The 21305-nt window shown below is 37.9% G+C and overlaps 1 protein-coding gene and 1 long non-coding RNA gene across 10 annotated transcripts in view; one reads left to right on the top strand and one right to left on the bottom strand.

Moving 5' to 3' along the window:
• Positions 1–21305, top strand: part of LOC107985251 (uncharacterized) — a 195120-nt gene that overhangs the window by 160426 nt on the left and 13389 nt on the right. For 4 of the 7 annotated variants that reach the window (XR_007066837.1, XR_007066840.1, XR_007066839.1 and 1 more), the window contains one exon: positions 6646–6746. The exons of 1 other annotated variant lie outside the window; for it this stretch is intronic. This is a non-coding gene — a long non-coding RNA (uncharacterized LOC107985251). Of the gene's footprint in view, positions 1–2200; positions 5396–6645; positions 6747–14616; positions 14700–21305 lie in introns of those variants that run through there. 2 more of the 7 variants (XR_007066843.1, XR_001738422.2) reach the window with 2 other exon arrangements.
• Positions 16732–21305, bottom strand: part of C4BPA (complement component 4 binding protein alpha) — a 40740-nt gene continuing 36166 nt past the window's right edge. For all 3 annotated transcript variants that reach the window (XM_005273252.5, XM_005273251.3, NM_000715.4), the window contains exons 10-12: positions 20428–20598; positions 17711–17886; positions 16732–17160 (exon numbers count right to left, since the gene is read on the bottom strand). In XM_005273252.5, the coding sequence (XP_005273309.1) occupies positions 16987–17160; positions 17711–17886; positions 20428–20598 (521 nt within the window). In that variant the 3' untranslated portion in view covers positions 16732–16986. The remainder of the gene's footprint in view (positions 17161–17710; positions 17887–20427; positions 20599–21305) is intronic.

Raw genomic sequence — 21305 nt, 5'->3', positions numbered from 1 at the left:
TTCTTTCTTTGTAGTTAACCATGCAGCAAACATAAACAGTCCCATAGTTATATTGACCATTTTTAGCTGATATCAACTTAACTTTGGTTGCATAAAAATACTCTAGACTTTTTCTGCCTTTCTCGCAATTTATATTTTTCTTGCCCTAATTTACTTCTTTATCTATTCTGTGTTCCTTAGCCACTAATTGTAGCTGTTGTCGTTTTGACTATTTTGACTTTAAACATTTATACTAGAGGATTGAGAGATTTACACCGCACCATAACATCACTGGAGTATTCTAAGTGTGATTTGTAAATTTACCTTCCTAGTGAGTTTAGTACTTTCATGAAAACACATGTAGGCTTTCTTCATTCTTTTTTACTAGTATTTATTTATTTTTCCCCTTGACTGGATTATTTCAAAAGATCTAAATTGTATTTTACTGATTGTATAACTTTTAAGCAGCATAGCCAGGATATAAATCTAGATTCTGGAAATTTGTCTATGAAAGTTGAATATGTACATTATACAACCAGCGTGTACACCAAAAGACATGTATAGGAATATTCATAGTTATGTAATCACCAAAGAACTAAAGCCATCTAAATTGTATCCTTAATAAAATGGATACATAAATTATAGTACAGTCACAGAATGGTGTAATATATAGCAATAAAAATGAATAAATAACAACTAGACACAACATAAATCTCACAAATGTAAGCAAAAGAAATCAGTCAAAATATAATATATACTGCATGATCTCATATATAAAAAGAAGTAACAAACACTCAGCTAGATTATTTAGGGATGCATTCTTATTTTATAAAACTATAAATAACAGAAAAAAGGTGATTGCTACAAATCAAGAGAATGATGGCATTTGAAAAGGAGGAATAGGGCAAGATGAGGTAGGAATGAGGAAACAAGTTCTGTAAGAAGAAGTGGTGACAGACTGAGAGGACTGGCATGTTAAGTAAAATCTTTCTGGAATAAATTAGGGATGTATCTTGGAGGGGGAAAGAAACTGAGTAGCTGGATAAAATAGGAAATACTGTACAGTATTGGACCATAGTTTTCTACATGCTGGATCATAACATGTCTATTCATACTATTTTAGTGTTCAAACACTGTTGAAAGATTTGGATTCAGAAGTGGGACTTGGTTAAAACTAAGCACACACCTATATCAGACCCTCTCACAGTTTTGCAATTGAGAAATGAGGGCAGTTATACATTTGCTGATAAAATTTTTCAGTATTTTCTTTTTAACTAAAAAACAAACTTGGGAAGTAGGGGTAAGAATCCCCAGTCTGCTTTGATTCTCATTTTGTCCCTGTTCTATCTTCTGGTACTTCCTCCTCACAGAACTAACTCTGGACAATCCTTGAGGATTGCTTTTAACTATTGATTTCCTGTTTTTAAATAAGTCCATTGGGAGCACTAAATGTCCATAGAGAGTCATATACTTTTTGGTTGCAATGTTTTTTGTTTTTATTTTTGTTTTTGTTTTTGTTTTGGAGATGGAGTCTGGCTCTGTCACCCAGGCTGGAGTGCAGTGGTGATCTCAGCTCACTGCAACCTCTACCTCCCGGGTTCAAGTGATTCTCCTGCCTCAGCCTCCCGAGTAGCTGGGACTACAGGTGCATGCCACCATGCCCAGCTAATTTTTTGTATTTTAGTAGAGACAGGATTTCTCTGTGTTGCCCAGGATAGTCTCGAACTCCTGAGTTCAGGCAATCCACCCGCTTCAGCCTCCCAATAGGCGTAATGTTTTTAAGCATTAGAGTGAGGGTGGAAATAATTAAATGGAAAAATATTTAATTTGAATACAATTTTTTAAATCTCCAATATATCAAACACTATTAAGTAAATGAAAGAATAATAAAATTTTAAGGCCAGGTACAGTGGCTCATGCCTGTAATCTCAACACTTTGGAAAGCCCAACAGGGTGAATCCTGTAAGCCCAGGAGTTCGAGACCAGCCTGGGCAACATAGGGAGATCCTGACCCTGTCTCTACAAAAGTAAAAATAAAAAATATTAGCTGGGCATGGTTGTGCATGCCTGTGGTCTCAGCTACTCAGAAGGCTGAGATAGGAAGATCACTTGCGCCCAGGAGGTCATGGCTGCAGTGAGCCATGATAACACCACCACACTCCAGCCTGGATGACAGAGCGAGACCCTATCTCAAAAAAAAAAATTCAATTAAATAATTAAAGCAGATATAACAATTAAAATTTCATGTCTTAAATATAAAAGCCTTCTTTACAAATCATTTAAAAATAAAATTGTCAAACACATGAGGAAACAACACAAACAAGTAAATCAAAACAGAAGAAATATAAATGTGCATGCAGAGTGGTTTATTGAGGCGTTCTTACAGGAACATTGTCTGTAAAGGAAGAATGAGAAGGAAGACAGAAAAGCAAAACTTTGAAGCAGTTGCATCAGAGACTTCAGAGCATCCTTAAAGTTGGACTGGCCCTTCAAAGGTGTCCAGGATTAAGTAAAGCTGGGCTTTTGTACCACTGCACCAACCAATCAATAAATGTGGGTGTCCCAGAGAAAGACTGCCACCTTGAGTGAGGCAGCTCCCCCAAAATATCTGTGTTTGCTAAAATGCAGATTCCCAATCCCCTAATCAAATATATCTGATGAGGCTTCAATGCCTGAATTATTTTTAAAATGCCTGAAGTTATTCTCATGTTCAGCAAATGCAGGAATCACTAGTCTAACAGAGACGAAATCCATTCATTTTTCTATGTATTCCAGGGTCTATCTTTGATTCAAAACAAAGCTTTAGTAGCTGTACCTGGATATCAGTAGCTTGCTTAACTTCTTGTAAAAGCATCAGTCTTAATTTATGTTTTAATAGATCAACTCAGTTCTTATTAAAGGCTGGTATATTTGGCTATTTGAAAAACAACTTTGCTATTGTCCATGTTATTGGCATTGTCCTAATTATGTTATTCACTGTTTCTTATTAAATGGCCCATGGGATAAATTTTAATTTTCTATTTTAAGTTTTTCTATTTTAATTAGTGAAAATAAGCTCCTCTTTCAGAACTGTTTCTTTTTATCAACTAGTAGGAAATATATAATCATTTTTCCTTGACTGAAAATAAACTCAACAAAATTGCTTATAAGTCTAAATTTTAGTGAATTTGCTGCTACTCTTCCTGTACTTCCTCTTCCATAAGTCTCGCTGTAAGCAATCCTTGAGTATTTTGACTTTGCATTTTTATTTTAGCATCATTAAGTTATACGTGCCGTGCCAGTTATCAGTGCATTTCCTCTCACATCCAAACTAACCGTTTATTACAGCTCTGTGATAATGGATGAAATTCCCTTAAGTATTAATCCTTTACAGTGAGAATGATGTTTAATATTCTCATTAGAGGATGCTTGAGGGACATTGCAGGAAGCAAGGATTCTCCTGCTGTTTCCTGCTGCTACATGATGGGTTAGTAAGATATATGGGGGTGGTCTGCCCCAGGCCCTCTTCCCAGAATGCACTATCCCCTGGCAATCTTGCAGTCGTGGACCAGGCTGGCTATCACCTCCCCGTGGTTCTTCTGACGGATACTTCTCCAAGACTCTTGCCACAACAGCACCCCTACTCCCTCTTCATGCCCTCACACCTGGCCACCTACTTGCCTATGTGCTTTCTCTGCCTTGAAGACTTGCTACTGGGGTCACTTTTCTGCACACCTGCCCATCTGGCCACTATCTGTGGTTCCCCTCACAGATAGCTCATGTTCCAGTGACCCCCAACCCTATCTGCAGGCTTATGCATGTAGCCACCAGCTGGAGCTCACCTATATTCTGCCTCTATTCTGGATATTTGGTTTCTACTTGCCCAATGACCACAGACCAGCTCTTGTCCAGGCAACTAGTGAACTTCTCTGGCATCCAGTGGATTGCTACTATACCTTTTTTAATGAAGTCTAAACCCCAGCCTTGGGAAGGGGCACCTCATTGCAGTTTGTCTCCCTTGAGTACCTTGCCTCAGCCCTAGAATACCATACAGAGTTTTCTTAAATTTTATAATTACTTTTTTATCAGAGTTTAGTAATTCTGTATATTAAATTTCCTCTATTTAAATCATTGTATGGTTTCTGTCTCCTGATTGGACCCAGGCTGAGACTCAGACATTTTGGGATAATCTAAAACTTGTAGTAAGCTTCTACTTGGTATTGAGATAGATGGCATATAAAGTTTCTGAGGGAAAATAATTTTATGGAAATAATTTTTAATTACATAATCTATTCAATGTATTTACATTTTGAATAAAGAGTATTATTTTTTAAATAAAGGAGAATTCACTATATCCCTAAATATGCAAATAGACTTGGTATCAGAAGGTCACTTATTGGTTAAAATTGGCAGAAACAGCACTAGGAAGGGTAATTCCTAAATTCAGAGAAATATTAGAAAATAGCATCCCCCTTTTATAGTGCCCATAAATATAAAATGGTAATGGAATCAAAATAGTCTCTCTTTAGTTATAACTTTTTTAGGGCAGAGCCGAGCCTCTAGCTTTCCAATTGCTTTCTCCCCACAATTATTAAACCTGACATAGAAAGAATTCACTTCGTTTTAATTTATTTTCTTGTGGTCAAAGAAGAATATTTGGCAGCAGGGGTTTCGTAGTTGACTTTTCTCAGGCTCAACTAAACTTTAGCACCAGATTCACATTCCAAATAACCTATACATTTTTTACTCCTGGTGTAATTATTCAGCACCACTGTGGGTGAACTTCTGAAGGAAATATATGAACTAGTTAGTCATAGTGTAAAGAAAAACATTTAACTTAAAGCAAGGAGACAAACGCAACTGCTGTGTCTTTTAGGGATAGGAGCAATCATTTCAGGAAAGAAAGTTCTCTCGATGTTGATAGTGCAAAAGTAATGTGGTGATGGAAATAGACTGAGGAATAGAGGGGGAAACAGAATTTTAAAAAGTACAGAAGCAGTAATTGCCTCATCTTGCACAGGAGAAATTTAAGTTGTAAACTCAAGTTGTAAACAGGCAAAAAAAACCACAGAAGTTCCTTCTCTGGAGCAACTGGACAGCAACAAAGAAGACACCTATAAACATCAGTATTTGGATATTCATTGTCCTATACTTGTCATGAGATAGGACAACCAAAAACTCAATGGCTCAGAGCAGGTAGAACTTTATTTTTCTTTCAAAAACAGTTCGGAGGCAAAAACCCAGTCAGGATGGAAGGCAGTACTGCTCAACATGGTCAACTAGGGACTAGGGCCTTTTCTCCTTGTTGCTTTAATATCCCCTAGGATGCTGTCCTTCTCAAAAAGGCAGAAGCTGGCTCTCAGGCACCCTATCAGCATTTCAGCCCTCAAGAGTATGGAAGAGGAAGAGGAGAGCAAGAAGCTTCCTTTTTAAGAAGGTGACAAGCATGTTGCATTTATTGGGAGGTTGCTCCAAGGGAGGGACTAGTTGAGCAACACTGTGCCCTGCTGAAATGGTAGAAGTGGTTCTATTACTTAAAGTGAAAATAGAGGTTAATACAGGGAAACAATTAACACTCTCTGTTATAGCCACAAGTTAATTTAAAATGCCTCACTGTCCCATCAGGCTGCAAGTAAGCCTGCTGCCAGCAAAATTTGTTCACATACACAGAACTTTAAATGAGATTATTTAGGCCTTACTCTTAAAGAACAACTGCTGACCAATGATCATTAACAGAGGTTTGCAGGGAGCAAAATCATACTTCTCTATTGCAAAATAGCTCCATAGAGACAATAATGAATCTAGGTGGAAAGAACAGGATTACTATTTTTTTAAAAACAGAAAACAATTTTTAAAAATTCTTTGAAAAATGTTAGCAAGTGTTCTTAAAAGAAATTGAAAAATTCAGAAAAAAAATGAAGTCAAGGAAATCTCCAAAAAAATGTTTGGAGAATTGAAGGTAAGAATGAGGGCAGAAAACATAACTAAATCCAATAATTAACAAGGAGGTCCAATATCAAATGATTTTGGTTTCCATGAAAAGAGAAAACAGTGAAGAAATGTTACTGAAAACATTTTCTAAGAAAATTTCTCAGAATAATAAGAACATGAGTTTATAGTGTGAAAGAGCCCATCAAGAATTAGCATAATAAATAAAAATAAATCATACAGTAAAGTATACCAACATGATATTTTAGAACACCATGAGTAAAGATTGTATCCTAAAAGCTTCCAGCGTTGAGGAAAAGTCAGGTCAGAAATCAGGATGTCTTTTGACTTCTCAATAGCTGTATGGAATATATTAAAACAGTAGACAAATTCCTTTAAAATGAGAGGAAAAATTACACTTTACCCACCCTACTACACCCAGCCAAACTATCAATCAAGTGTGAAAATAATGACAGTTTCAAGAATATAGGAGTTCACTCAATAGCTTACTTCCTATACATCATTTCTTAGGAAGTTCCTGGAGGATGTGCTCCAATAAAATGAGGAAATAAGAAAGAGAACATGAGTCAACAAAGTAAAGACAGGGCAGGAAGGCGAGTCTACAGATATGAGAACATCCATTGCTTGTTGTAGTGTGTAGCAGCCCCTGTCAATGTCCTGTCAGTATCACCAGCGCCCTGCCACTTTAGCACACTCTAAACAACTTCCAACTGCCTATATCTGTTTCCTTTTACCCAGGCTTTTTCCACAACCATCGAAGGCTACTCTGATTTGCAATTAGCAGGATAAACTGAAGATAACACCTTGCAGAAGCAGATCTCAATTAACAACTGATGGAAGTATGTATAAATATCCCAGCTCCCTACCCTTAGCTATGATTACTCTGAGGTGCGAGTTCACCATCTTTATCAGTGTCCCTTGGGATGAGGCTGTGGTCATCCTAACTAGCTTGCTAACATATCCTTTTTGGTTGACTTTCCTTCCATATCTCACTGCCTTTCTCTCCTGGTGTTTCCTGCACCTCCTAAACAAATTACCTACATTTTAATTCTTGTTTCAAGGTCTGTTTCTAGGACTTTGGGAGAAAGACACACAAGAATAAGAAAGGAATTGATAAAGCATATGATATCTCAACATTTGGAATAGATTTGGTAGACTGAAAAATCTCTTGGTGCATTTAGGAGGAAATGTAAATAGAAATATAGAAAACAAAACAAGCAAGCAAACAAACATTACTGGAAAAGGACATTATAGACAACGTATTAAAACAAAAGCAATGAAACATACTCACAAAACGCTATTTGGTATACTGCATAGTCATAACATGTAAAAGTTATTATTGATGTAACCAAAATTATGCAATAATTATATTGAAACAAAAAGAAAAAGCAGGTGATATATTAGAAGATGATTAAATATATATATCTGTAATCAATAGATAACAGCTAAAATGAATAATTTAAGAAAAATAGAAAAAACATTGCCTTAAAATATGAACATAAATATCAGGAAAAAAATGTTGCAAGATATGACAGTGGTTCTCTGGGAGTAGGGAAAGGGAACTGTGTGCACCAGATAATATGCTAATTTGTTAAACGTGAATGTATCTTAATTTTAAAGATAAATAAAGTTGATAGGTCAAGAAATAGATGCGTTTCTAACATGGTTTATAATTTATAGAATTATGTACAAAGTTAAAATCTTAAATGTGAAATTTAAATTTAAAATGGAAAGAGAAAAATGGGTAATATAATGGAGGTAAGCTCTCTATACCTACCTTTATTGTTTTAATATTTGTTAGAATATATATGTATTTATTTTAAATAACTTTTAAAAGGGATTTAAATAAAAGGATAAATTAAAGAATGGAAGGATAATTTAAATCTATGTGAAAATAAGTCAAAACTACTCCTTTATATTAGTAAAGAATGGTAAGAAAGGAAAAATAAAGGGCTAATATTTAAAAACCTCAACTGTTTTTTCTGTACTCTTAAAGACTGAGACTTGGGGTGGATCTTTGTTTAAGCATGTTAATAACATGAAAATATACACATACATAATTACCCATTCTTATCCACTCATAAAATGGTGTGGAAAGTGACTTTCTGGATAGTGGAAATTTTAATTTTATTTATGAAATTAGTTCATTTATGGTTGGTGGAATAGAAGATCCTCAGCACCACTCCTCCCCACAAAAGTACAGCTAGTAACTATTCAAAGACAAGAACACCACCTTGAATTCACCAGAACCTGAGAGAGAAGAGGAGAAAGCCCCTACAACAAAACCACAACTGGTAACAGAAATGGCCATTTTAGACTGTGCCACCCTCTCCCCTAAGCTGGCATAACCGCCACTCACAGAGAACTTCCCTGGACCCACAGTTTCCAAGATGGAAGGAGGGAACTGGAAGTGGACATTCTATCTCCCCACTGGTCTGGGAATTTTCATGGGAAGCCCATGGCAGTCCTGTCCCACAGGAAGCACTGGGAATGCCAGGAGGACTGAACCACCTGGGGTGAATTGAAGACAAGTGGGGGGAAAAGGTGCTTATCACGGGGAATGGCATGTGGATCTTGGTGGCTACTCTGCATTTAAATCAGCTGGGCATCACACAGAGGAGACTGGATAGTGCCATAGTGCTTCATGGGACACAACCCATGGGAAGGCCTGAGTCCCTGGTCAGATTTCCCACACGGCCCGGATGCTTACATGGAACTTTCCCCTGACCTGGAAGCAACTGAAAGGTCAGTGATGAAGTTCTGGTGCTCTCTTAAGTCTTCCCCAGACCTGGAAACCACTGCAGGTCTGTGTTTAAGTTCCTGTGCGAGCTATAAGTTCTGGTACTCACAATAAGTCTTCCCCAGATTGGGAAAAAATGAAAGGGTGGTGATTTAGTTCCAGGGAAGTGTTTAAGTTCTGGTGCTCAATATAAATCCTTTCCAGAATGGGAAGCAACTACAGGCCAGCAAATAAAGTTCTAATGTTAAGTAATAAAAGTCTAACATCACCAAAGAACACCTGCAAAAGTTGGAAGAGGTGGCCATCTCTTCGAATGAACAGGCATCAATGTAAAGACACAAGACTGAAAAAAAATCAGGGAAAAAAACCAACAAAGCTCTGGTAATAGACCCTGAAGAATTAAAGATCTGTGAGCTGCCTGAGAAATAATTAATAATAACCCTCTTTTAAAAATTCAGGAAATCACAAAAAATATCAATAGAAAATTAAATAAAATTTATAAAACAATCCAGAAACAAAATAAGAAATTTGACAAAGAAATAAGAACAATTTTTATTTGATGTTTGTTTTTTAGAGATGGAGGGCTCACTTTTTCACCCAGCTTGGAGTGCAGTGGTATGATCATAGCTCAATGCCATCTTGAATTTCTGGTCTCAAGTGATCCTTCAGCCTCAGCCTCCCAAGTGACTGCTACAGGCACAAGCCAGAATGCCTGGCTAATTTTTAATTTTTTTGTGGAGACAGGGTCTCCCTATATTGCTCAGGCTGGTCTCAAACTCCTGGGCTCAAGCCATCCTCTCCCTTTGTCCTCTCAAAGCACTGGGATTACAGGCATAAGCCACCATGCCCAGCCTAGGAACAACTTTTAAAAACCAAATCAAAATTCTAGAAATAAAGAATGCAATAACTGAACTGAAAAACCCAACAGAAAACTTCAGCAGCAGACCTGATCAAACAAAGGAAAGAATCAGCAAGCCTGGGCCCTAACACAGTGCCTTATGCCTATAATCCCAGCACTTTGGGAGGCCAAGGTAAGAGGATTGCTTGAGACCAGGAGTTTGAGACCAACCTGGGCAATATAATAAGACTCCTTGTCTCTTAAAAAAGTCAGGCATGGTAGTGCATGCCTGTAGTCCTAGCTCCTCAGGAGGCTGAGATGGGAGAGTGGTTTAAGCTCTGGGGTTCAAGGTTACGGTGACCTATGGTTGCACCATTGCACTCTAGCCTGAGTGACAGGAAAAAAAAAAAAAAAGATTCAGCAAGCTCAAAGACAAAACATATGAAATTAACCAATCAGAGGGCAAAAAGGAAAAAGAATAAAATGCAGTGAAAAAGGCCTATGAGAATTATGAGACTCTATCAAACAAACCTCTGCATAATAGGAGATTGCAAGGAGACAAGAGACAAAAAAGGCCTAGAAAGAATATTTAAGAAAATAATGGTTGAAAATCCCCATATCTGGAGAAAGATTGTAGAATTCAGGTACATGGAGCTCAGAGCTCATCTATGAATGGAGCTCAGAGGTCACCAATCCACTTCAACCCAAAGAGGAATTCTTCCCCAAGGTACAGCATAATGAAATTATCAAATGTCAGACCTAGAAAGAATACTGAAAACAGCAAGAGAAAAGAAATATGTCACATTAAACAGAGCCCCAATACAACTTTCAGATTTCTCAGCAGAAACTCTGCAGGCCAAGAGAGAGTGGAAGGATATATTCAAAGTACTAAAGAAAAAAGTCCAACACAAATATTAGTACCCAGCAAAGCTAACTTCAAATATGAATGAGAGATAAAGACTTACCTGGACAAACAAAATTTGAGGGAATTCATCAAGACCAGATTTGTTTTAAGAGAAATGTTAAAGAGAACTCTTCAGTCTGAAAGAAAAGAACACTAACGTATTAGAAGAAAACATCTGGAGGTATAAAACATATTGGTAAAAGTAAGTTTACAGACAAATTTAGAATAATATAACTGTAGAAACTCAACCACTTATATCTTTAGCATGAAGACTATGAAACAAACTATTACAGATAATAACTGCAACAATAGAGACAGGCAATATAAAAAGATGGAAATAGAGACATCAAAATCTGGGAAGGAGTGATATTAAAGAAGAGTTTGTTTTTGCTATCATTCTTTTCTTTGTGATCGACGTTAAATTGTCAGTTTAAAATAACCTGTTATGACTATAAAATTTTTTATAAACCTTAGGGAAACCACAACACAAAAACTTATAGTAGATACATTAAAAAATAAATGTCAACCACTGTGGAAGATAGTGTGGTGATTCCTCAAAGACCTAGAACCAGAAATACCATTTGACACAACCATCTCATTACTGAGTATATACCCAGAGGAATATAAATCATTCTGTTATAAAAATACATGCATGTGTATGTTCATTGCAGCACTACTTACAATAGCAAAGACATGGAATCAACCCAAATGCCCATCGATGATAGACTGGATAAATAAAATGTGGTACATATACACCATGGAATACTATGCAACCATAATAAGGAATGAGATCATGTCCTTTGCAGGGACATGGATGGAGCTGGAAGCCATTATCCTCAGCAAACCAACACAGGAACAGAAAACCAAACACCACATGTTCTCACTTATAAGTGGGAGCTACACAATGAGAACACATACACATGGACACAGGGAGGGGAACAACACACGCTGGGGCCTGTTAGGCGGCAGGGGGAGGGAGAGCACCAGGATAAATAGCTAATGCATACAGGGCTTAATATCTAGGTGATGGGTCAGAAACCTGCAGGGGCTCCAGCAACAAAAAAGAAGCAGCAACAGAAAAAGAAGAAAGGTGGAAAAGGTGGTTGGTGATGAGAATATTCTTGTTGCAGGCTGTTTTTAAACTAGTCTCAGTGACACTAAGAATATAATAAAGGTAACACAGCAAGAAACACAGAACTGCTCCCTCTTCATCTCCGTATTTTCATAATTTCTTGTGTTTCAAATGGGGAAACATCTTCCTCAAAGGCTGCCTAGTGAGATATGGCCTACTGGTTGCCTCATAACTTTGTACAGATTATGAGGACTGAAAATAATTGGGCATTTACCCATCTTGGTATCTGTTGTATCCTTTATCTGTGTGTGCTGATTCGATCTTTTTTCAGTTTCACATACCTTATCTAAGGTTTCCCAGGATTTAAACAGAAACTATTTCTACGATTTCAGCTAGAGTCAGAAGATACTTGTTTCTGTTCAAGTCTCACTTTAAATTATGTCTTAGGAGGCCTTAGGCAACTGAAAGTGGAATCTTCTGAGCATTCCTAAATATCTGCTTAGAAATATCATGTGATAAAGAGGGACCTTCTTAATACACTGATGTTCTTCACTTAATTAAATGGATGGCCACAAGAAAAATAAAGTAAATGTCTTAAATAATTTAACCATAAATTTTTTGTCATGTGATACTGGAATATGGGATACTTTTCATATATATATATAATTTCAGATATATATATAGCTCCTTTGTGCCCCATATCATTTTCAGATTATAGTAACATGCTGATACAGCACCATGAAAGAACTCAAGGAAAATATATCAATGTAAGAAGTTGACTCTTAGACCTAGTGTTCTGAGGTCAGATGGGTTTGGACTGCCTCAATCAGAAAGATTAAGGACTATTATCAAGAACATGAACATTGGCTTCCTACATAGAGAGGAAATCAGTATCTGAGTTCCATACCAGGCAATATTAAAATCTAACAGGTCTGTTTGGCCCATTGATAGATACTCAAATGGTATCTCCTTCTGGTTATGGATTTTGACCATTGATTACCTTTCTCAATGTAATGAAGTATTTTACAGTCAATTTGTGATGTAAATGTTGCTCTTGTCTTTCCTCACTTACAAATTACTTTGACATTGAACAGCTGTGAGACAGACATATTGAGATGCCTGCCGTTGTTATTATTCATTTTATGCTGTCCAAGATATCATTTAATTTAGACTTACAAGTATTTCCTTGTGATTATATTACTCTGTCCTTGTTAATAAAGTGCTGCTGTGTTTGACTCTGAACGTAACTATCAAAACTTCTTCAAAGAGTTTTTTATAAAAGACTTCCCTCCTTTACAAGAAAGAAATGGGGTGCTGCCTTTCTGTTTAGTAAAAGCAGAATCTGCAGTGGCATCTAAACAAGAGATCCTTTTTAAATACAAATGATGTATTGTGGCATAATACTTTTTTGAGCTCTACAGAGAACAGTCTTTTGGTAATAGTGGCAGATATTTATTCCTTCTGAATATATACCCCATTATAGGAATAACTGTTACTTATTTAGGATTCCATCATTGAAAATTTTGACCCAAGGCACAGCAGTGAAATTTACAGTTCTCAATTTAGTTGTCATTATTGACAGGCATTGGTATTATTAGTCATTGCTAAGCAACTGAAACTTCAGTTCAAATAAGTAAGTTTTAATTGTCAAATGAAGTATAAACACATGAACTTTCTAGAAATATTTCCTCTTTTGGATAGGTCTTTAGCCAGTACATATATATACTTTGTCGAATATATGGATGTGCGTGTGTACATTTATAAAAACCAGTATGGATACATCCATTCACTGTGGTACATTTTAAAATAAAATATTTTAGCAGTGAAAAAAAAATACCTAGGTGATGGGTTGATAGGTGCAGCAAACCACCATGGCACACATTTACATGTGTAACAAACTTGCATGTCCTGCACATGTAACCCAGAACTTAAAATAAAATAAAATTTAAAAATAAATTAAAAATAAATAAATAGCATGAAATCAAAAGATACTACTAGAGACAAAGACTTAACTATGAAGGAAAAGAGTAAGGGAGGAACAAAGAAAGACTCAAAAAAAAAAAAAACAAAATAAGCAACAAAATGATAATAGTACATCTTTAGCTATCAGTTATAATCTTGAGTGTAAATGGGTTAAATTATCCTATTAAAAGACATAGAGTGGCAGAATGGATTTTAAAAAACAAGACTCAGCTATATGCTGTCCTCAAGAAGCTCATTTCACCTATAAAGACATGCATACACTAAAGGTGAAAGGATGAAGAAAGTAACCAATGCGAAACAACCCAAAAAAAGCAGGAGTAGATATGCTTAGATAAAATAGACTTCAAATCAAAAACGATTTTTTAAAAGAAGATTATTTTGTAATAAATGTAATGATAAAGAAGTCAATATGGCAAGGGGATATGACAATTGTGTTTGTGTATGTATGTGTGTATGTATATATCCTCCACACCAGAGCACCTAAATATATAAAGCAAATATTAATAGACTTAAAGAGAGAGATTGACTGCAATAGAATAACACTAGAAGATTTGAACACCCCACTTTCAGCAATAAACAGATAATCCATACAGTAAATTGACAAACAAACTTCGGAGTTACACTACACACTATACCAAATGGAACAAATTGATATTTATGGAACATTTCATCTAACAGCTGCAGAAACACATTTTCTCATTACCACATGAAATATTCTCCAGGATTATGTTAGGCCATAAAACAAGTCACGGCAAATTTTTAGAAATCAAAATTATACCAAGTACCTAAAAACAAAAAAGGCCATTAAGTCACAAACCCATAGCTAATACCATACTAAATGGGGAAAAGTTGAAAGCCTTTCTTCTAAGATCTAGAACAAAACAAAGATGCCAAGTTTCACCACTTTTATTCAACATAGTACTGGAAATCCTAGTCTGAGCAATTAGACAAGCAAAAGGCGATAAAAGGGCATTCAGATTGGAAAGGAAGAAGTCAAAATGTCCCTGTTGGTAGATGACACTATCTTATATTTAGAAAAACATAAAGACTCCATAAAAAACTGTTAGAATTGATAAATGAATTCAGTAAAGTTGCAAGATTCAACATTAATACAAAAAAGTTAGTGATATTTCTGTAAGCCAGTAGAGACTGTCTGATGCCATTGTGCTTAGTCAACAGATGGAACCATACAGAAAAGGCAGCTGTAGAAGAGTTCATCTGTATCCTGGCCATATGGCCTTGACCTACTCTAGAGGTTAGTGCAAATGGTCCCATAGGTGTCATTGGCTACCCATGTCTCTCTGACTGATGGTGAGCCCCATCCTTGGAGCCTGCTCAGCCAGCCAACAGTGTAGATCCCTTGGGTCTGGGAGCCATTGCTACTGGAGCAAAACTTCACCAGTGAGAGAAGAGAATAGGCAGAAAAATACCCAGGTCTTTTTCCTGAGGAGGACAACTCAGAGTTGGGTTCTACATGCTCTCAGATGCTTCCAGCATGATTGAGTCCCAGTTGGCAATGAAATAACCCCCTCAACAATGTTCCCTAATGGGCTTTCTTCCCTTCTCCATCTTACTGCCCACTCACTTACAGTGTTTTCTGGAACCACCTTTCAGGGAAACTAGTTGCTCACAAATTCTTGTATCAGGGGAAATTCAAAAATAAACATTAAACCAAGAAATGCCTAGTAGCCTAGTAGGTAATGGCTTTTAAGATCATGGATAGATACGTTTGATGTTAAGTGGATGTCTTAGTCTATTTTCTGTTGCTTATAACAGAATACCTGAAACTGGGTAATTTATAAACAAAAAAAATTATTTTTTACAATTCTCAAGGCTGGGAAATCCAAGGCCACGGCTCAGCATCTGGTGAGGACCTTCTTGGTGGGGACTTTGCAGGGGCCCAAGGTGGCACAGGGCATTACATGGCAAGGGGGCTGAGCATACTAACTCAGGTCTCTCTTCCTCTTCTTATAAAGCCACCAGTCCCACTTCTGTGATAACAGCTGCGAAAACACATTCTTCTCATTAGCACACAAAATATTCATCTATGAATGGTTTAATCCATTCATCAGGACAGAACCCCCATGAACCAGTCACCTCTTAAAAACCCCACCTTTCAATAGTTCCACATTGGGGATTTACTTTCAACATGAGTTTGGAGGGTACAAACACTCAAACTATAGCAGTGGGTTTCTCCAACAGCACCACCTCCTCTGTTACATCTAAAGTTCAGTGAAAGCCTGCCATAATGCCATTTCCTTCACATAATTTTGGGAAAATTAAGCCAAAAAGGCCAATGTTCAAAAGGCCAGAGTTCTGTGTGCAGGGAGAGAAAAGACAGCCAGAGGAGCTGAGATAAGAGTGAGAAAGAGACTGCACAGGAAGCAAGAGTCAGAAAAAGTGATGACTTAAAGGAATAAAAGTTCCTAGAGTACCCAGAAATATAAGGAAGTTTGATATGGGATATCTCTTCCTGTGTGGGGCAGTTGCTCAACCTGTTTTAACTTAATATTAAGGAAAATGGTGACCAAATCAGATAGAAGAATTGAGAATATGCAGAGGACTGACATGTGGGCTTCATCTTCATCTGTCTTTCGAAGTTCCTTCTCTGGGGTTGGAATGAGGAAGTCAGACACAAAAGCAAACTTCCTTCATGGAAGGCAATAGTGGAGATGTGGCATGAGTCAAAGAGACAACGTGCACAGGGGCTCAGGGGAAGGCGTGACTCCCCCAGAGCGGGAGAATGGGGGAGGCTTTGAGGGTGTGTTGACATTTAACCTCACCAGGGAGGACATGAGTGCTGTGCACACATGAAACTGTGGAGTAAAGGCAGTCTGTCCACGATAAGAACCCAAGTATGGCCAGGCATGGTGGCTCACACCGGTAATCCCAGCACTTTGGGAGGCCAAGGTGGGCAGATCACTTGAGGTCAGGAGTTCGAGACCAACCTGGCCAAAGTGGTGAAACCCCGTCTCTACTAAAAATACAAAAATTAGCTGGGCATGATGGCACACACCTGTAATCCCAGCTACTCAGGAGGCTAAGGCAGGAGAATTGTGTGAACCTGGGAGGTGGAGGTTGCAGTGAGCCAAGATTGTGCCACTGCAGTCCAACCTGGGCAACGGAGTGAGAGTCTGTCTCAAAAAAAAAAAAAAAAAAAAGAAAACCCAAGTACCTATTATTTGTGGCCCAAACAGTAAAACAAATGTATTAATGTATTAACTTTATATTATGGGTTTTTTAAGGACGCTTATTTCACAGAGTCCTAAATGACCACAAAGACAAAATAGTTTTTTATACATACATTTTTAATCGAAAAAAAATTTGTGCTTTGTGTGTTGAAAAGCAAAAACATGAGCCACACAGAGGATGATTAATAATTTCACAATCTCAAAGCACTAAACTTTAGCAAATTATCATTTCTAGATATTTATTATGATGAATATCACTGCCAAATTGACAGTAGATTTGCTAAACTGATCTGTATTGAATTGCAAGAGGCAAGCCAGCAAGACACCTTTTCCTCCTTCTTTTGAGAAAAATTATAGTTCTTTATCCAAAGTGGATTGTCTTGCGCTGTCTCTCTGTAGTTCCAGTTGTTCAATTTCCAGAGACAGCTTATATACCTCCAGGGCCATTTTCACATCCTCTGGGTTTGGGAGACACTGCATGAGTCTTTTGCCTGTGAGCACTTGTTCACAGCCTTCGGGGGTCTCCTAAAAGATATAAGTGGTGGGTGTGATTGAGAAGCTTCTCTTCTAATCATAAAGGAGGGTGGATCCTGACAGTGGAAGGACTACAGGATTGAACCAAGACCAACCTCAGACTGGTGGTTGAGGCTGGGAAAACAAGAAATCACTTGGGTCCCACCACAGTCTTCCCCAGGGGAACATGGATCTGTTCTGAGACAGCTGTCCAGAAGGCCCCCATGGTAACAGAGGCTGTTTTTGCTGACCATCCAGAAATGGAACAACAATATATTATATAGCTTAGCAAAAGTTAGGCTAGAAATCAGTACTACTGGGTCTATGAAACCCTGCTCTGTAAGGGCTCAGTTTTTCCTGTTCTCAAGTGAGAACAGGAGAACTTGCCACCCCTAACTTACCAGAATGCTTCAAGACAAAAAGAGTTTCTTTGAGTGGGAGTGGCTCAGAAATGAATCCTGACAAGTCAGATTTCACCATTGTTGAGTGGTACAGAGCTCTGGGGGATGCCACCATTTTTAGGGGTCGACAGCACAGAACTTCCTTGAATTGTGCCACTTACCCACTCACACTTGGGCACCTCTGGGTACCAGGTTCTGTTCCCAGAGCAAGTGATACTTTGGGGACCAACCACACCATAGCCAGAATCACATTGGATGGTGACATTTTCAGGCTCAACATACTGATCCTTATCCACAGACAACCTTCCATTCACTAATTCTGGTTTCCGACACAGAGCTGTAATGGAAACATATTTTTAAGAAATCTGTAAATCTATGAAGAAGGACATGATAACAGTCTCGGATAATAAGAATGAACTGTATTTAGTTCTGCTAATTGTTCTATCTTTCTCTTCATTTGAAAACATTCATATTAGCATTTTATTGAGTATGACTACCTATCAGACTTCTGCTAGGCACTTTATGTTGCTATCATTTAAGTCTCCTGGCAGCCCTATGAAATGAGCACTGTTATTATTCCCATTTTATCTAAGAGACAGCTGAGATACATTAAGACACTTGCTCAAAGTAATAACATTTTCATATAATATGACAACATATTTCTTTTTTTATTATACTTTAAGTTCTGGGATACATGTGCAGAATCTACAGGTTTGTTACATAGGTATGCATGTGCCATGGTGGTTTACTGCACCCATCAACCCATCATCTACATTAGGTATTTCTCCTAATGCTATCCCTCCCCTTGCCCCCCACCCCCTGACAGGCCCCAGTGTGTGATGTTCCCCTCCCTGTGTCCATGTGTTCTCATTTTTCAGCTCCCACCTATGAGTGAGAACATGTGGTGTTTGGTTTTCTGTTCCTGCATTAGTTTGCTGAGAATAATGGTTTCCAGCTTCATCCATGTCCCTGAAAAGGACATGAACTCATTCTTTTTTATGGCTGCACAGTATTCCATGGTGTATATGTGCCACATTTTCTTTATCCAGTCTATCATTGATGGGCATTTGGGTTGGTCTCAAGTCTTTGCTACTGTGAATAGTGCTGCAATAAACATACATGTGCATGTGTCTTTATAGTAGAATGATTTATAATCCTTTGCATATATACCCAGTAATGGGATTGCTGGGTCAAATCGTATTTTAGTTCTAGATCCTTGAGGAATCGCCACACTGTCTTCCACAATGGTTGAACTAATTTACACTCCCACCAACAGTGTAAAAGTGTTCCTATTTCTCCACATCCTCTCCAGCATGTTGTTTCCATGACAGGATATTTCTAAAAGAAGGTATGTGACCCCAGAATCCCAACTAACGAGGTAACTGTCACTCACAGTTTTGATTGCTGCAAGATTCTAAGTATAAAAATTTCCTTCTTGCAGACATTTATGCAGCCAACAGACCTATGAAAAAATACTCATCATCACTGGTCATTAGAGAAATGCAAATCAAAACCACAATGAGATAACATCTCACACCAGTTAGGATGGTGATCATTAAAAAGTCAGGAAACAACAGATGCTGGAGAGGTTGTGGAAAAATAGGAATGCTTTTACACTGTTGGTGGAGTGTAAATTAGTTCAACCATTGTGGAAAACAGTGTGGCAATTTCTCAAGGATCTAGAACTAGAATTACCATTTGACCCAGCAATCCCATTACTGGGCATATACCCAAAGGATTATAAATCATTCTATGATAAAGACACATGCACACGTATGTTTATTGCAGCACTATTCACAATAGCAAAGACTTGGAACCAACCCAAATGTCCATCAATGATAGACTGGATTAAGAAACTGTGGCACATATACACCATGGAATACTATGCAGCCACAAAAAAGAATGAGTTCATGTCCTTTGCAGGGACATGGATGAAGCTGGAAACCATCATTCTCAGCAAGCTATCACAAGATCAGAAAACCAAACACTGCATGTTCTCACTCATAAGTGGGAGTTGAACAATGAGAACACATGGACACAGGGAGGGGAACATCACACACTGGGGCCTGTCGGGGGGTGGGGGGCAAGGGGAGAGATAACATTAGGAGAAATACCTAATGTAGGTGACAGGTTGATGGGTGCAGCAAACCACCAGGGCACATGTATACTTTTGTAACAAAACTGCATGTTCTGTACATGTCATCCAGAACTTAAAGTATAATAAAAAAAATTTCCTTCTTGACTATTATTCTCCTGTGTACAAAAGAAACAATGATGGCAAATAAATACTGAAGTTTTTGACAGCAAAGTCATGCATGTTGACAGCAAACTTCTATTCATGTAAAAATCAGACCTGATCTCAACTCCTCCTGTCCCCACAACTGCTGCAAACTACGAGTCCCCCTTCACCCTCCCTGACCCCTCACACCAACACACACCATCTATATCATAGCAGGTGGTGCATGCCCTGCACGAGACTCTGGTGGAAATAACTGTCACTCATGATATTTAGAATTCACTCAGGGGAGCCTATATTCATACTAGAGCAAGTTTCTATGGAAACTTTGCCACAGGCCACAGGTACACTAAGATAAAATGTGATACTTTTAGAATATTTCTGGAAATATACAAGAAACCTGGTATGGGCTGCCCCAAGAAGGCTGAATTTTGTGATTGGGAGAAAGAAATGGAGGAGATTAATGTTTGTGTGTGCCCTTTGTAGTTTTTGCATTGGGTACCATTTGCATATATTGATTATTTAATATAAATCAAATCAAATGTTTTCATGCTGCCTCTGACAGGGAAGAAACTTAGCTCTCAGTGCTCTCAGGACACGTCCACCCACTTAATCTTGAGCTGAAAAGGAAGCTGGAGTTACCTTTACATTGAGGGGCTGGAGCTGACCAGTGTGAATAACTGCAGGAGAGTTTCGCCTGTCCGACCAGAATGTAGCCTTTATCACATTCATATATAATCTCTTCTTTGAAAAAGCTGTATGAACTAGATTGTTTATAATGCCCATGGGCAATTTTAGGAGGAAAATTGCAAACTTGAGGGAGAGACAAAAAAGTGAGAGAGCATTAGTTTGTAAAGTGTATAAAGTAGCACATTGCAGAATACATGTAGTTTGTAGGAGGCTTCATTCTGTCCTTCTATCCTCGCTGCCTGTAAGAGCACGTAGCCAAACCCAGACACTTCTGCTCTCCTCCTGTAAGCCTCAAGCTGGGCAACCATAGAAAGGCTCGAGATATAGCCCTTAGGTTTTCCTTCATCTTATTGACAAGTTCACTCAACTTTCCATTGTTTAGGAGCCATTTTGGCATGAAGGTTGAATTCAGCCTTAGGTCATATCATACTCATAGTACACTTAGTCACTTTCAGGCTAAATGCAGAGATTTGCATCTGTGAGAAACTGTAAGGATGTTATATCATCCACAATCTCTGAGTCATTGCTCCCCAATCAGTACTGTCCATCCATGCCCAAGAAGAAAATATTGCATTTTAAAAAACTATAGAAAAGAGCTCATTGGATAAATGAATATGGTGACTTGAACATTGAAATAGTCAAGAGGACATGGTGCAGAGCACCTCTCTGAAAGGGAACACTATCAGGTCCACAAACACTGCATGAGAAAGTTAAAAAAAAAAAAAAAAGCAGAGCAGCAGGAATGTCGGACAAAGTACTATACCAGTGGACTATGGCAGTTATAAGTACTACAATAAGATGCTCCTGGAAGCATGGAAAAGCTGATGGCC

Source organism: Homo sapiens, chromosome 1 (assembly GCF_000001405.40).
Source record: "Homo sapiens chromosome 1, GRCh38.p14 Primary Assembly".
NCBI lineage: Eukaryota > Metazoa > Chordata > Mammalia > Primates > Hominidae > Homo > Homo sapiens.
Note: the sequence above shows the minus strand (reverse complement) of the source record. Positions and strands in the feature narration are given on the sequence as shown.